Genomic DNA, 12,828 nt, shown 5'->3' with positions numbered 1-12,828 from the left:
GGTGTTTCCGGAAGAAATTAGCAGTTGAATCAGTAGACCTAGTAAACAAGACCTGCCCTCACCAAGGCAGACAGGCGTCATCCAATCCTTTGAGGACCCAAGTACAACAAAAAGGTGAAGGGAAAATTTTTCTCTGCTTGAACTGGGACATCCATCTTCTCCTGCCATTGCACGTCAGTGCTCTTGGCTCTCAAACCTTTGGGTTTGGACTGGAACTACACTGTTGACTTTCCCGGGTCTCCATGTTGCTGATAGTAAATCATGGGACTTCTCAGCCTCCATAATTGCATGAGCCAATGCTTTATAATAAGTCTCTTTCTATATATTTTTATCCAATGTTTAGAGAAGTTTCTCTAGAGAAGCCTGACTACTACAGGTGGTCGGTGGAAAGTGCATGGGCCTTGGCGCCAGACACACCTGGGCTGTTACCCCGGCTCTACCACTTTCCAGCTCTGTGACCTTGGGTAGCTGAATCTACCTCTCTGAGCCTGTTTCCTCATTCCTGGTAGAATGTGAACACCATGCCAACTTACAAGGCAGTTGAGGGCAAGGTAATGCATAGGAAAGTGTCTGGTATGGTCTCCAGCACTGAGTAGGTCTTCAATGCCTATGTATTCCTTTTCCCATGGCTCCCCACTCTGGGGCAAGCTGGGCACTTGTTCATCCAAGCTCCTGTCCTGTGGGGGGACCAGCATCAGATGCCATTCCATGATAAGCATGGTGTTACCTGATCTTGCTCTGCCAGAGAGATTGGTGAAGATACATGAGGGGTTATAGAAAGTAGACTGGGGTGAAACCCTGTCTCTACAAAAAAAAAAAACAAAACTGGGCAGGGTGGCACACACCTGTTGTCCCAGCTACTCAGGAGGCTGAGGTGGGAGGATCACCTGAGCCCAGAAAGTGGAGGCTGCAGTGAATGGGGAGTACCCTGGTTCCCTGCTCTCCCAAAGCCTCTGTCATCACTCGGGATGTTCCCTCATCTCAAATGTCCTTCTCTGCCTAAGTCTTCCCATCCCCCAAGGTGCAACTCAAGTCCCACATCCTTGGTTAAGTGGCTGGGCACATGGGCCTTATTTAGATCCAGCAAACCTGGATCCAAACCCAGCTCCTCCACTTGCCAGGAGGTGTAATTTGTATCTCTTAGAGCACATTATTTACAGTTCTGAACTCTAGTTTTCTCCTATGAAAAATGGGATTAATGACAATTACCTCTTAGATTTGTTGTGAGGCTCTGATGAGGTAATGCAGGCACGACCCTGGAACGCAGCAGGTGCTCCATAAACAGTTCTTATTCCTGCCTGCAGTACTTCCCCAGCACTCAGTCCATGGCACATCCTGCCATATGGTTTCCTGTGAAGTGGCTCTGACACTTGAGCCACGCTGGATGCTCAGAGAGTGCTGCATGTGTTACTCTTTCCAGTATCCCTCACAAAGTGGGCATTATTTAAAAATGAGAGAGAAGTGGCCAGAGTTGGCAACAAAGGCTGACTTTTCTCCCTAATGGGTAATGAGGGGCCCAAGCTCATTTGCTTTTTAACGGCTTGAGATGGTGCAGGGGACTGATTATGAGATGGGAATACAGAGTTCTAGGGGAATCTTGGGCAAATCACATTCCCTCTCTGGGTCTCATTTCTTTGCCATTCTACCAGTGGCTAACCGAGGCCCAAGGAGTGGGCAGACTTGCTCACTGCCACACTGAAGAACTCTAACTGGCTGGAAGACGGCTAGGAACAGGAGGTCAGAATCAGAACAGCATCTCCCTGTGAACTTACTCCTGTCCAGAAGCGTATGGACACCTCTCCTCCTAAGAGTAGGAACACTCCAGGGAAGGGGCTGTTAGTCCTGAGTCCACACAAAGAATATGGTGGCTGCTCAGTAAAGGGCTGCTGAATGCATGAAAGAACTCAATTTTCCAAAGTTGGCCACTTTCAGCAGAATATGCCTGCTCTTTGGTGCCTGATCCCCTCCCCCATGGGAAATGCTGTTAGGCCTGAGGTAGCCTTGACTTCACTGCCAAAGCTCCTTTCCCCTTCTCTGGTTATTGGCAGTGTCTAGTAGAGGCAGCCTGCAGTGTCCCACTTGGCCAGCAGGGGTCACTAGCACACACTGCAGCCTGGAGGGGTCTAGTGCGTCAATTAATTCCTCATGCTATTAATTCTATAGGCTCAAGAGTCTGCAAATGAAGTTTCCTGGGAATGAGTGAAACTCATATTTCTGTGACTCAGCCTCCTCTTGCATATGACAGCTGCTTAATGCAAGACACTTTCAGACATGAGGAGGGAAGATGGCAGGGAACAGGTGACTGCAGCAATCCCTGTGGCTCTGTGAGGGTAGGAATTACTCAGGGACCCTGGCTGTGGATCACAGAGACTTTCTGAATTCCAGAAGTCTGTGGGATGCTTTCCTACGAGCAGATATTACCACCTCAGAGAGGATCAAAGGCCAAGACAGGGTCAGGTAGACTTGAGATCAGGGATTTCAAGCAAAAAGTTGACCAGACAGGAATGAGTAGACACTGCATAAGATGATCTTACTGTCATGAGCTGGCAGGACAAAACATGCCTGTGGTCTAGAGTAGCCATTTAGAAATATCAGACACAAATTTAGAGGCTTTAGTCTAAGTTCTAGGCAATACTACAAACACTTTTTGAGCTTAGGCATTATTTATTCAGGATAATAACTAGTGTGAATTCAGAACCTTACCATTCACACACAGAGCTCACGGGATCTTCATGATCCCGTGATGCCTGCATTACCTCATCAGAGTTAGACCCTGTATTTGAAACAGGAGCTATTATCCCCATTTTGGAGATGAGAAAACTGAGGCTGGCAAGGGCAGATCCTGGAGCCTAACTCAGGGCTGCATACTCCAAATCCTCATCTCTCTGTGCTCTGCCTTGCCTGCCTCAAACATGAGTGTCTGCCTACTAGGACACAAGCATAAGTTTTGTGGCAGCTATTTTCACCACTGTGAGGGGGCTGTTGCTTTATTTAGGCCTCATAGCACGAGAAACAATAAGGCATTGTGGTCAGGAGACAGGGCTTTTGGGTCAGACACACCTGAGTTCTCTTTCTGGTCCTGATGTTTACTAGCTGTGTTACCGTGGGCAAATTGCTTGACTTTTCTGTGCCGCAAAATCCCCTATCTGTAAGGAGGACGGAGAAGAGGCGGCTGGGGACAGAGAAGGGCCTTAGAAGAAAACCAGGCCCCACTGTGGCTCCTTCTCATGGGAGGCTGGAGGAAGGTCTTAGAACATAGATCCTGGCTGGGGTGGCTGCAAGAATAGATGGCTATCTGTAAAACAGGGGAAGTAATAAAGAAATAAAGCAATACATAAATAAAGTGGAGAAGTACCTACTTTACAGAGTTGTTGTAAGGATTAAAAAGACAACTTCTGTAAAGCATCTAGCACATACTAGGCAAATGGTAAATACATGAACCTAAAGAAGTCTGGGCTCCTAAAACACCACTGCTTTTGTTTCTAATTTGTAGTGCTGAGTTGAGACTGCAGCTTCCACACAGGGACCCAAGATGGTTTTGCAGGCATATCATGGAGGGAATAAAACCAGGACAAAAAACCCAACGAATACCACCTTGCTAGGAATAGCCACACTGATTGTTCATTTCTTTAATTTTTAAAAATGAGTAAGCAGACAATCTTGCACCCTTTGAATGCCCAATAAAAATGTTCATTATGCAAAACAGTACAACCTTTTTCATTTTTTAATAATACTGTAAATATCTCAGAAAGGATGTATTGTTTCTAATGAATATCAAAAAAGTCATCACAATGACATGTTCCCCTGCCCCCACATTGCCCTCCCCACCCCCAAAGTTACCCAAATACTAGTAGGAAATTACAAAAAACAAAAAGCAACAATCCACCCTCCGCCCTGCCCCATGAGTAGTGTTAAGTGAGTCAAGCGTTAGCCACATTACGACGTGTGTGTGTGTCGGCGATGGCGGACCACAGGGATCTGTGGAGAACCGGTAGCAGCAGCAATGGGAAGCCTCCTTGCCTGGGGCCTGCTGGGAAGACAGCAGCCGAGGATAAACACAAGCAGGGCCCCAGCCTGGCCCTTCCTGGGTCCGCAGAACCAGACAGCTCAGGGAGACGAGAGTGGGATGGTGGCTTGCCCATAAGAAGCTGGGCAGGCCTGAACTGTGTGCACAGAGGGGGCCCAGGCTAGGCTTCCCGTCCTGCCCAGTGGGGCACTGGGCATCCCTCTTAGTAGACACAGGCTTCAGATCAGGGCTGGCCAGAGCAGAGATGCTGGGGGTTTGCAGACTTTTGGGTGAATCAAAAACAGAGGACCCTTACAGGAAACTCAGGCCTTGGTTTGGAGAAAGCCCACGTTTCCACCAAATAATATTGGGAACCTAAGGAAAAAGGAAAAAAGAGTGTGCCTTCCCCACCCTCATATAGCTCAGAAACCAAGGCAGAGGCTTGATATGAAGTCCAATTAAAGAAGAAGAGCGGTATCAGCCAGAGAGGTCTGCAGCCAGGCTGGCTGGGGAACAGCACCAGACTCCAGGCCCCACGGAGAGAGGAGCCAGCAGGATGCCCAGGTCTTCCCTCTAGTGAGAGCTGAGACTTCTGTCTGCCAAAGATGGGAGGGAAGGTGGCCGGGAACAGGTGACTGCACCTGTAGCCTTGCGCCTGGCCACTGAGGCAGGTAGAATGGCTCCTGAACCAGGGGCAAGGATGGGAGAGAACTGAGAGGGAGGATGGTGGTAGGTGGAGGTTAGGGGACAGGAGGAGGGAGAAGAGGTGGCCTGGGACAGAGAAGGGCCTTAGGAGGAAACCAGGCCCCCTGTGGCTGCTTCTCATGGAAGGCCGGAGGAAGGTCCTAAGACATAGACCCTGGCTGAGATGGCTGCAAGAATAGATGGCTGCTTCCCCACCCAGAAAATCAGTCCCCACAGCAACTCCAGCCAGCCCTGCCAAGGGTGGAGAGGCAGAGCCGGCGCTAAGAGCAGCTGACCAGGAAAAAAAGGCAGGCCAGACAGAGGAGCCCCTGCCATGGGGGCTGAGGACCCACTGGTGTCCAGAGAGCAGGGCTGCCCACAGATGAGATGAAATTAGAGTTTTAGGGAAAACACACATCAACACCACACCATTTCTACAATAAACTTGATTTTAAATAAGCAGGTGGGGAGGAGGTACAACTGGGAGGGCGGAGATTATTGCCTGCAAGTCTTCAGAGGAAGCCAAGGTCCACGGCAGGTCTGGAAGCCAGCAAGGCACACAAAGAGAATCCCTAAGAAATAACCCAATCCGGCTCCTCCTCCCATTTGGGAGATGGGGAAACTGAGGCCCAGGGAGGGAAAGGGAGTGCCCAAGGTCACTTCATGGGATCAGGGCAGAGGGGGGCCTGCAGCCCAGGAGTCCTGAGTCTGCTGGACTTTTTCTTCTCTGCCACATAGCCTTGCTGTCTGCAAACCCAGTGTCCCTTGGAAAGGGAAGGTTTGAAGGAAAAATTATCCCTGGGGTATGGAGGAGGGGCGGCTGTGGATGGTCAGAGACATACATGGGACACAGAACGGTCATTAAAAGGCCGACAGAGGAGGACAGCCATCACTCCCCACCCCACCTGGCCCACAACCCCAGTAAAAAAAGTTTTACAATATTATACACTTCTTCCTAATCCCTAGAAAACATTGATTAAAACTGCCCTAGGACAGAAGATCTGGCAGTCCCCGTACAGTGTTATCTCTTTGTAGTGGTTACTTCCATGATGACTGGGGGCGGGGAGGGGATATGACTTTAGAGCAGTGTACAGTGGCCACCTTAAAATTAACTTGTTAATTAATCCTGTGCAAAACAAGCAAGCCCCTACCATTAGGTGAAGTATGGGGTTCAGGAATTCATTTACATACACGGGGGGAAGAAAGGAAGAAGAGCCCCAGATGGCTGGTGGCCGCTCAGAAGTGCGTCTCCTTCTCTGTGATGGCTGCGATGGTCCCGTCACTCTTGAGTTTGGCATCACAGTCATTAACTGTCACCATCCGTGGGCTCACCCCAAGCTTGCCCCGCATTTTCAGATCTGTGCTGGGGGTCGTCAACTTCTGGAGTTTCTGGATGGTTGGAGAGGAGGGGAAGATCTGAGTGATTAGCTGCCAGGGTCCAGGGTCTGCCGTGGCCTCTCCCAAGCACACGGCGGACATCTGGGTGCTGGAGAATTCTCAGACCAAGGTCCGGGCCCCAGCTTGGCCCCTTACAGCTCTGTCCTGGATGATGAACAACCTCCCTGGGTCTCAGTTTCCTCCTATGAAAAATGGGGACCGTAGAGGTCCCTACTCCTGGCATTAGGTCAAGAGTAAGGAGAGGCTATGGAAAGTGCTTAGCCTCGCACCTGGCTAGGAAAGGTTGCTGGGACTCAGAGCGGTCATCAGGGTCCACTGCCTGGTGCCTGCCCTCAAGGGACACTGAGAAGCTGGGGTGTGAATTGCTGGGTGGTAATGCATCTCCAGGGCTGTTTACAGGACAATTGCTGGATACCTGGGTGCATTCCCCTTGGAAGGGGTGCCATCATGTCGGGGAAGGTGTAGTGTGTGTTGGGTGTTCCTCCAGCTGTGCTCAAAGGTAGAAGCATTATCACAAAGCCCAAGGCTCACAGCCTCAGCCTGCCTTGCAAAGCAGCCCGCACCAGCTGGCTGGCTCTGATGGATGCAGACTTCTGCCCCACAGCCCTGCCCCTCAGGCCAGATGTGGCCCTGCCTCAGGCCCCTATCCCTCAGCTTCATCTGCACTCCCCAAGTTTCCTGGGAGAAGACTCCAGGCTGGGATCTGGGGGGCCCTTTCTGGGCATAAACCATTTCCCGAGGAAGGTTGCAAAGTCTTTTGGGTGGCTGGTTTCTCAGGATCGAGGTTCCATGTTCTCTTTCAGATCCTGCTGTGCCTGCTGTGGCACACTGTCCAGGTAGGATTAACAGGCAGACTCACCTGTGCGATTAATAGGTGCCTCCTCTGTGCCAGGCACCGTGCCAGGCTCTGGCATGGATCTGGGGCTAGAGCACGCGTTCCAAAGCCAGGTGCCTGGGTTTGTGTCCAGGCTCTACAATTTAACAAGGGCAAGAAGCTTAACCCCCCGTGCCTCAGTTTCCTCATCTGTAAAGGGGGATAATAACGGTACCTGCCTTCCGGGGTTAGTATAAGGATCAGATTAGTTGAGCGGCCACCATGTTACCTTCTATCATTCAGTAGGATGCATCCTCAGAGCGCATCACTGACGCACCTCTGTCCTCATTTTTCCCTCTAGATCCTTCCCGTCCCCCAGCAGCAGCTTTGTGGGAACTGAGGCTCGGGTTGTGGACTACCTGGCACAAGGACTCTCGGTAAGGAGGGCCTGGAAACTGGGTCTGACACCTCCAAAGAAGTCCCTCTTTAATAAACCCTGCTGTCCACGTCGGCAGACATGTGAGCTCAGGGAGATGGAGGGGGCTTAGGAAAGAAGGCTCCCTCCCCTGCTTTCCCGCCCACACCAGGCCGGAGATGATCTCTGGAGGATTTAGCAGGCAACACCAGGCATTTCTGAACACCAAAAGGCCATCTGGAAGTTTGGGCAGGGGTCTTCCAGTGGTCAAGGTTTTAAGGCCCCAGGTCAGCTTCCCTCTGGACATGTTTGGCCTGAGATCAGAATTAACCAACTGCCCTTGACCTACATTCCCTGCAGGCTCCAAGGAGCCTGACTTGCTCTGGGGCATGAGCAGGCTTGAGAAAGAGACTTTCCTTTGTGGCTGGCCCCTTCTGGCTGGATGCATGACTATTTCTGGAGCCCAGGCCCCTCGGTGGGCAGGCAGGTGGGTTGGGTGCAGCTGACTCTGAGCTGGAGCTTGCATTCTGGCTCTGCATACCCCCACTCCCCATCGCCTCCTGGGTGGCCAAGTTCAACTCCTGCAGTCCCTGGGGTGTGGCCCTGGGGCAGAAACAGGGCCACACAGTGGAGTGCAACTGGTTCAGCAGAGGAAGGTGAGGCAGCGAAATTCAGGGGACAGGACCACACAAGCCGGAGTCTCTGCTGTATCCTTCAGAAGCTGTGTGCCCTTGGGCAAGTTGCTTCACTTCTCAGTACTTCAGTTTCTTCATCCATGGAGACAAAAAGAATCTCCACCCCCCTAGGATTGCTATGCGGATTAAATGACTTAGTATTTGTAAACTGCTTAGAACAGCTTCTGGCACACAACAAACACCCTGTGCTGTTTACTAAATAAGCAGAAACCCACTCAAACCATCGGGCTGCCAGCGGTAGGGAAGGAGAGTGAATAGGGAGTGCCGCTCTGGAGTAAGATGGGCTCAGTAACGATTCAGTTGCTGACAAAGGACCACACACTGTAGGACTCCAGTGACAGGAAACATCCAGGGTAGGCAAATCCACAGAGACAGAGCAGATCTGTGGTTGTCTGGGGGTGGAACAGGGGTTAACAATGAATGGGCATGAGGACTCTTATTAGGACAATGAAAGTATCCTAAAGCAGATTCATGACAATGACTGCACAATGTGGAACATTACTAAAAATTGTGTAACTGTATGGCTGAAATGGGTTAATTTTAGGATATCTAAAATCTACTTTGATGAAATTGTCTTTAACCATGTGATCTGCTAACTGTTGGCTGTGTGACCTCAGGCAAGTGACCTGATTTCTCTGAACCTGTTTCCTCTGCCTGCTAACTGCAGAAAATGATGCCTATCGCCCAGTTTGCTCTGAGGATGGCAGGAGATACAGCAGGTAGACGGCCTGGCACAGTGACAGGTCAGAATGATTGGGATTCACAAAACAGTCAGCGCTAACACTTGTTACCCTCTGGTCCAGGTCTGGGTCCCAGGGCTTTTCCTATATGAACTCACTGAGTTCTCACAGCCTCTGTAAGTTAGGTACTGTGGTTATCCCATTTTACAGACAGGAAGACAGAGGCTGGACTCCTAGAAACTGGCTCAGCCAAAAGACTTCACAGAGACACCTTGGGCACAACCATGATACTGAACATTGGCCAGAGAGGAGTTTGCCACAGCGTCCCCTTGAGGCAGGTGGGCGCAGGCCGTCATCGCGCACCATGCAGATGAGGAAACTGGGACCCAAGGCGCGAACCCTGCCCAAACGCACCAGCCCTCCTGGGGCGGTCTCACCTCGGGCAGTGTCCCCTCCGTCTTCCACACTGTGATGCAGATCCAGAGCGGGATGCAGAGCATGGAGGACAGGGCCATGAGCCAGCCAATGCCATAGCCCCAGGCTGGGTAGGTGTAGATGTTGTTGTACTTGAGTGGCTTGTACTTGATCAAGAAGAAGATGAAGATCCCCTGCAGAGAGATGGGGGCAGGTGCCTGGGGGATGGGCCCTCAGCCCTGCTAGGCCATGAGGGGTCTGAGGCCCAGGAACAGACTAGCCAGAGGCTGGCAGGGGAGGAAGCTGGCCCTGTTTCACAGCCATGAAAAGTGAGGCCCTGCCAGGACCACAGTGAGCTTGAGGCACAGCAGGCTAGAGCCCCATTCCACAGGCAACAGATGCTCAGGGAACGTGGCCCTGGGTTCTGGGACCTCGCTGGGCTGTGAGGACCTCTCCCCACCCCCAGGAGCCTCTTCCCCGGCCTCTGCCCAGTTAGGAATTTTTATTTTTTCTAGTTACTCCTCGGGACTGGTTTCAAAGTTGCTTCTCAGAACTACAACAGTCTGTGAAGATGCTGAGTTACTTCCAGTGCCAAGAAACGGATAAGGAGTGATAGGATGTTTTTTAATTAAATGTCTGCTCACAAAGGCCCCGCTGTGGTCCGGTCTCAGGCAGAGCATGAACCCCAGTGTCACCCTTGGCTCTGCTGCCTTCATGGTTAACAACAAGATGGGGACAGGCCTTTGTTCCCCACATAGTCCTCGGCCCTCTGAGGCGGATCCAGCGCCCGATTTGCGTATGCAGCACCTGACGTCCTGAGAAGGGAGGCGCTGTGCTCCTAGTCACACAGCAACACTGGGATCCCAATGAGGCCACTCCTTGGCCAAGCCCAGAGCCTGTGCCCATGGGTGCAGCTTTGTAAGGTGGCCTGAACCAGGGGACATCAGCCTCCTCAGGTCCAGCCTCGGCCAGGGTGGGGGCTACGGAGTGGAAACGTGGGTTGGAGGGTAGATGGGTGGGTAGATGGCTGGAGGTGGCTCCTGGTGGGGCCCTTACCGCGCAGATCCCAGGGGTCATGATCATCCAGCACCACTTAATGAGCGACGGTGGCCGGTAGCCAATCATGTCTTCAATGTTATCATAGAACCGGTTGCTTCCTGTCCGGAATAAATCAGAGGGGAACATACACACCCCAGAGAAGTTTTGTACATGAGTCAGAGGAATGGCTAGGAGTGTTTGCTTTCTCCAGCCTGAGACAGAAAAACTGCTGCAGGAATCTTTGTACTGCTTAAACAACGACCGAGATGTTACATGTGTGAGGTTTCAGAATAAAGAGCAGCAGGAGGGATGCTGGCCCACTACTGGAGAGAGCTCTCCTGGCCTCAGGCCCAGGAAATGATGAATTTCTGGGAGAAAGGCGGAAGGTGATCCCTTTGGAGGCAAGGCAATCAGGGGTGGGGATGAGGATTTTGAAGGCAGGGGCCTGGCAGGGCTGCTACAGAGCAGGGGCCTGCAGAGGCATCCATTCCCAAGCCACACTCATGGCAGGAGTGACCATCACTGAGCCCAGCAACCCTCACCCACCTGTTGGGCTTGGGGAGCAGGAGGACCTGAGGTGGTTGTCTATGGAAGGCCAGGCACCATGCAGGCTGCTGCTTGATTACACTTCCTCCCACTTGGAGACATGTTGATGACTACTGTTATTTTACAAAGGGGAAAACTGAGCCTCAGGGGCAGAACTGGCCCAAGATCATAGTGCCTGAGCCCTGAACCCCTTCCTGTGCTGCATGGTGTGAAAGCAGAAGGTCTACCAACAGTGGGAAAAGGCCAAGGAATCCCTGAAGAGTAAGAAGAGGCCAGTATAGACCAAGATAAGCCACAGAGAACCAGAGCCAACCAGAGTCCAAGCACCAGGATCCTGGGTACCTGGTGGGCAGCTGGGGTGTGGACGGGCTTGGCTGCTACTCACCATACACCCAGCCGATGCAGATGCACTCAAAGATGGCCACGAAGAGAAGGCACATCCCACTGGCGGCATAGGAGTCAAAGAGCTGGAAGATGTACATGCCACCCTGCAGGTCGGGGAACAGACACACGGATGGGAGGTGAACGGACACACGGGAGAGCAGGGTCAGCCATCTGGCCTCAGGAAGGTCCCTCTCTCTGCTCTGTGGCTACCACTGCCAGGAATCTGTTTCTCCCTAGTCTTCCCAGTTTGAAAATTGCACCCTCCCATCTGGGAGCCCCCTAATTCCCTGTCCTTTGGGGGCTGCTGGGACCGCAGATGGTTTGTCTTGTCTCAGCCCCTCACTTTCCAGCACCCCAAGGGCCAGAGACTACATAGAAAATCGAGATGGGGGAGACTCAGCACCTCTCCCTGGATGGGTATAACAGCCTCCTGACTGGCCTCCCTGCCTCCAGCCTCACCCTCTCCAATCCGTCTGCACGCCAGCTTTCAGAGGAACCTTCCTCTGAAACGTGCAAATCCAACCAAACACGTGGTAGTTTAAAGTGACCCTCTGGCTCCTTTCAGCCTGCTAGTCACGGCTGCTGCCCTCCTCATTGGCCTCATCTCCCTTCCCACAGTCCCTCCTGGACAGACCAAGGGACAGCCTCACCTCTGTGCCTCTACACATGCTATTCCCTTTCACCTGGTAAGCTCCTTCAAAGCTCAGATCAAATGCCACCTCCTTCAGGAAGCCCTTTCTAATGGTCTCATTCTTTCTTTGGGCCTTCATAGCATGTTTTGTGGGCTCACAATTAAAAAAAGAGGGGAGTGGGGCTGGTGCACAGTAGGTGGTGATAAACGTAAGTTAAATCCTGTGGAGTGTGATCTCCATAGGGTAGGGAGTCCAACTGGCTTTGTCCAGTGCTGGGTCCCAGTTTCTGGCCCAGGGCTTGGCACGCAGGAGGTATGTGGTCCATCTTCATGGGATGAAGAAATGACCACAGACCAGCTCTGTAGCATACAAATCCATGATGATTGAGTTTAGTGATGTCCTAGAATGTGTGAGCTCAGCTGACCAAGGTAATCTGGGAAGGTTTTCTAGGAGGGAGGGGAGGAGAGAGGACACCAGCTGCAGATATAGGGAGAGCGGGGGTCTCTAAAGAAAATCTTTACAATACAATGAGGGTCCTTAGAGGATGCAATCAAACGCAGGGGAAATAAAAGTGTCAAAGAGCTAGGAAGGATCAGGTGGGGTGGGGTAGCCTGAATACCAGGACAGTGCATTAGGGGGCTGGAATGAAACCTGGAGAGCCTCCTGTGCGCCTGCCATGGGGACTTCCTTGGAGTTCTGCTTCCCCTCTGTGCTCCCAGAGTGCCCTGGGCCTCCTCCTGTCACTCACAGACCACACACCATGGGACTCGTTCATGTCTTCATCTAGACAGGGAGAAACATCTCAATGCCCACAAGGCCAGACAGATGATACGAATGAGAAAAGGGAGGTGGGTGTGGTACCAGGGAGTGGTGGGGACCATGGCTAACTGGGGAGTATGGGCCCCATCTAGCTACACACCTCTGGAGGGCAGTTGCTGGGGAATGCAGCTGTGAGGCCAGATCTGCAGATTTTCTGGAAGACACCAGAAACGCAGATTTGTATGGGAAATTTTTCTGTTATAATTGTTGGCAACTTCGTGTTTTTAAAAAACACAGTGAGGGTGAAACAAAATGGATCTCTCAGCGGGCCATGCCTGGCCTGGGTTCTCCCATCTGTGACAA

General features: G+C 51.9%; 1 protein-coding gene across 2 annotated transcripts in view, besides 3 other annotated features; it reads right to left on the bottom strand.

Moving 5' to 3' along the window:
* Window positions 1–3,614: 3,614 nt before the first annotated feature.
* The window catches only part of SLC6A11 (solute carrier family 6 member 11), a 124,487-nt gene continuing 115,273 nt past the window's right edge, over window positions 3,615–12,828 (bottom strand). For both annotated transcript variants that reach the window (NM_014229.3, XM_047448764.1), the window contains 4 exons: window positions 11,076–11,178; window positions 10,163–10,263; window positions 9,130–9,300; window positions 3,615–6,079 (listed from right to left, as the gene is read on the bottom strand). In NM_014229.3, coding sequence (NP_055044.1) covers window positions 5,927–6,079; window positions 9,130–9,300; window positions 10,163–10,263; window positions 11,076–11,178 — 528 coding nt within the window. In that variant the 3' untranslated portion in view covers window positions 3,615–5,926. The remainder of the gene's footprint in view (window positions 6,080–9,129; window positions 9,301–10,162; window positions 10,264–11,075; window positions 11,179–12,828) is intronic.
* Window positions 7,339–7,844: an enhancer, noted in NCBI's record as "H3K4me1 hESC enhancer chr3:10978171-10978676 (GRCh37/hg19 assembly coordinates)". NCBI's record gives its function as "activates a minimal SCP1, AML or CMV promoter by ChIP-STARR-seq in naive H9 embryonic stem cells {active_cell/tissue: H9 hESC(naive)}" and the evidence as "EXISTENCE:reporter gene assay evidence [ECO:0000049][PMID:30033119]".
* Window positions 7,845–8,351: an enhancer, noted in NCBI's record as "H3K4me1 hESC enhancer chr3:10977664-10978170 (GRCh37/hg19 assembly coordinates)". NCBI's record gives its function as "activates a minimal SCP1, AML or CMV promoter by ChIP-STARR-seq in naive H9 embryonic stem cells {active_cell/tissue: H9 hESC(naive)}" and the evidence as "EXISTENCE:reporter gene assay evidence [ECO:0000049][PMID:30033119]".
* Window positions 8,591–9,545: an enhancer, noted in NCBI's record as "H3K4me1 hESC enhancer chr3:10976470-10977424 (GRCh37/hg19 assembly coordinates)". NCBI's record gives its function as "activates a minimal SCP1, AML or CMV promoter by ChIP-STARR-seq in naive H9 embryonic stem cells {active_cell/tissue: H9 hESC(naive)}" and the evidence as "EXISTENCE:reporter gene assay evidence [ECO:0000049][PMID:30033119]".

The sequence above is a fragment of the Homo sapiens genome, chromosome 3, assembly GCF_000001405.40.
Source record: "Homo sapiens chromosome 3, GRCh38.p14 Primary Assembly".
NCBI lineage: Eukaryota > Metazoa > Chordata > Mammalia > Primates > Hominidae > Homo > Homo sapiens.
This window is presented reverse-complemented; position numbering and strand designations above follow the sequence as displayed.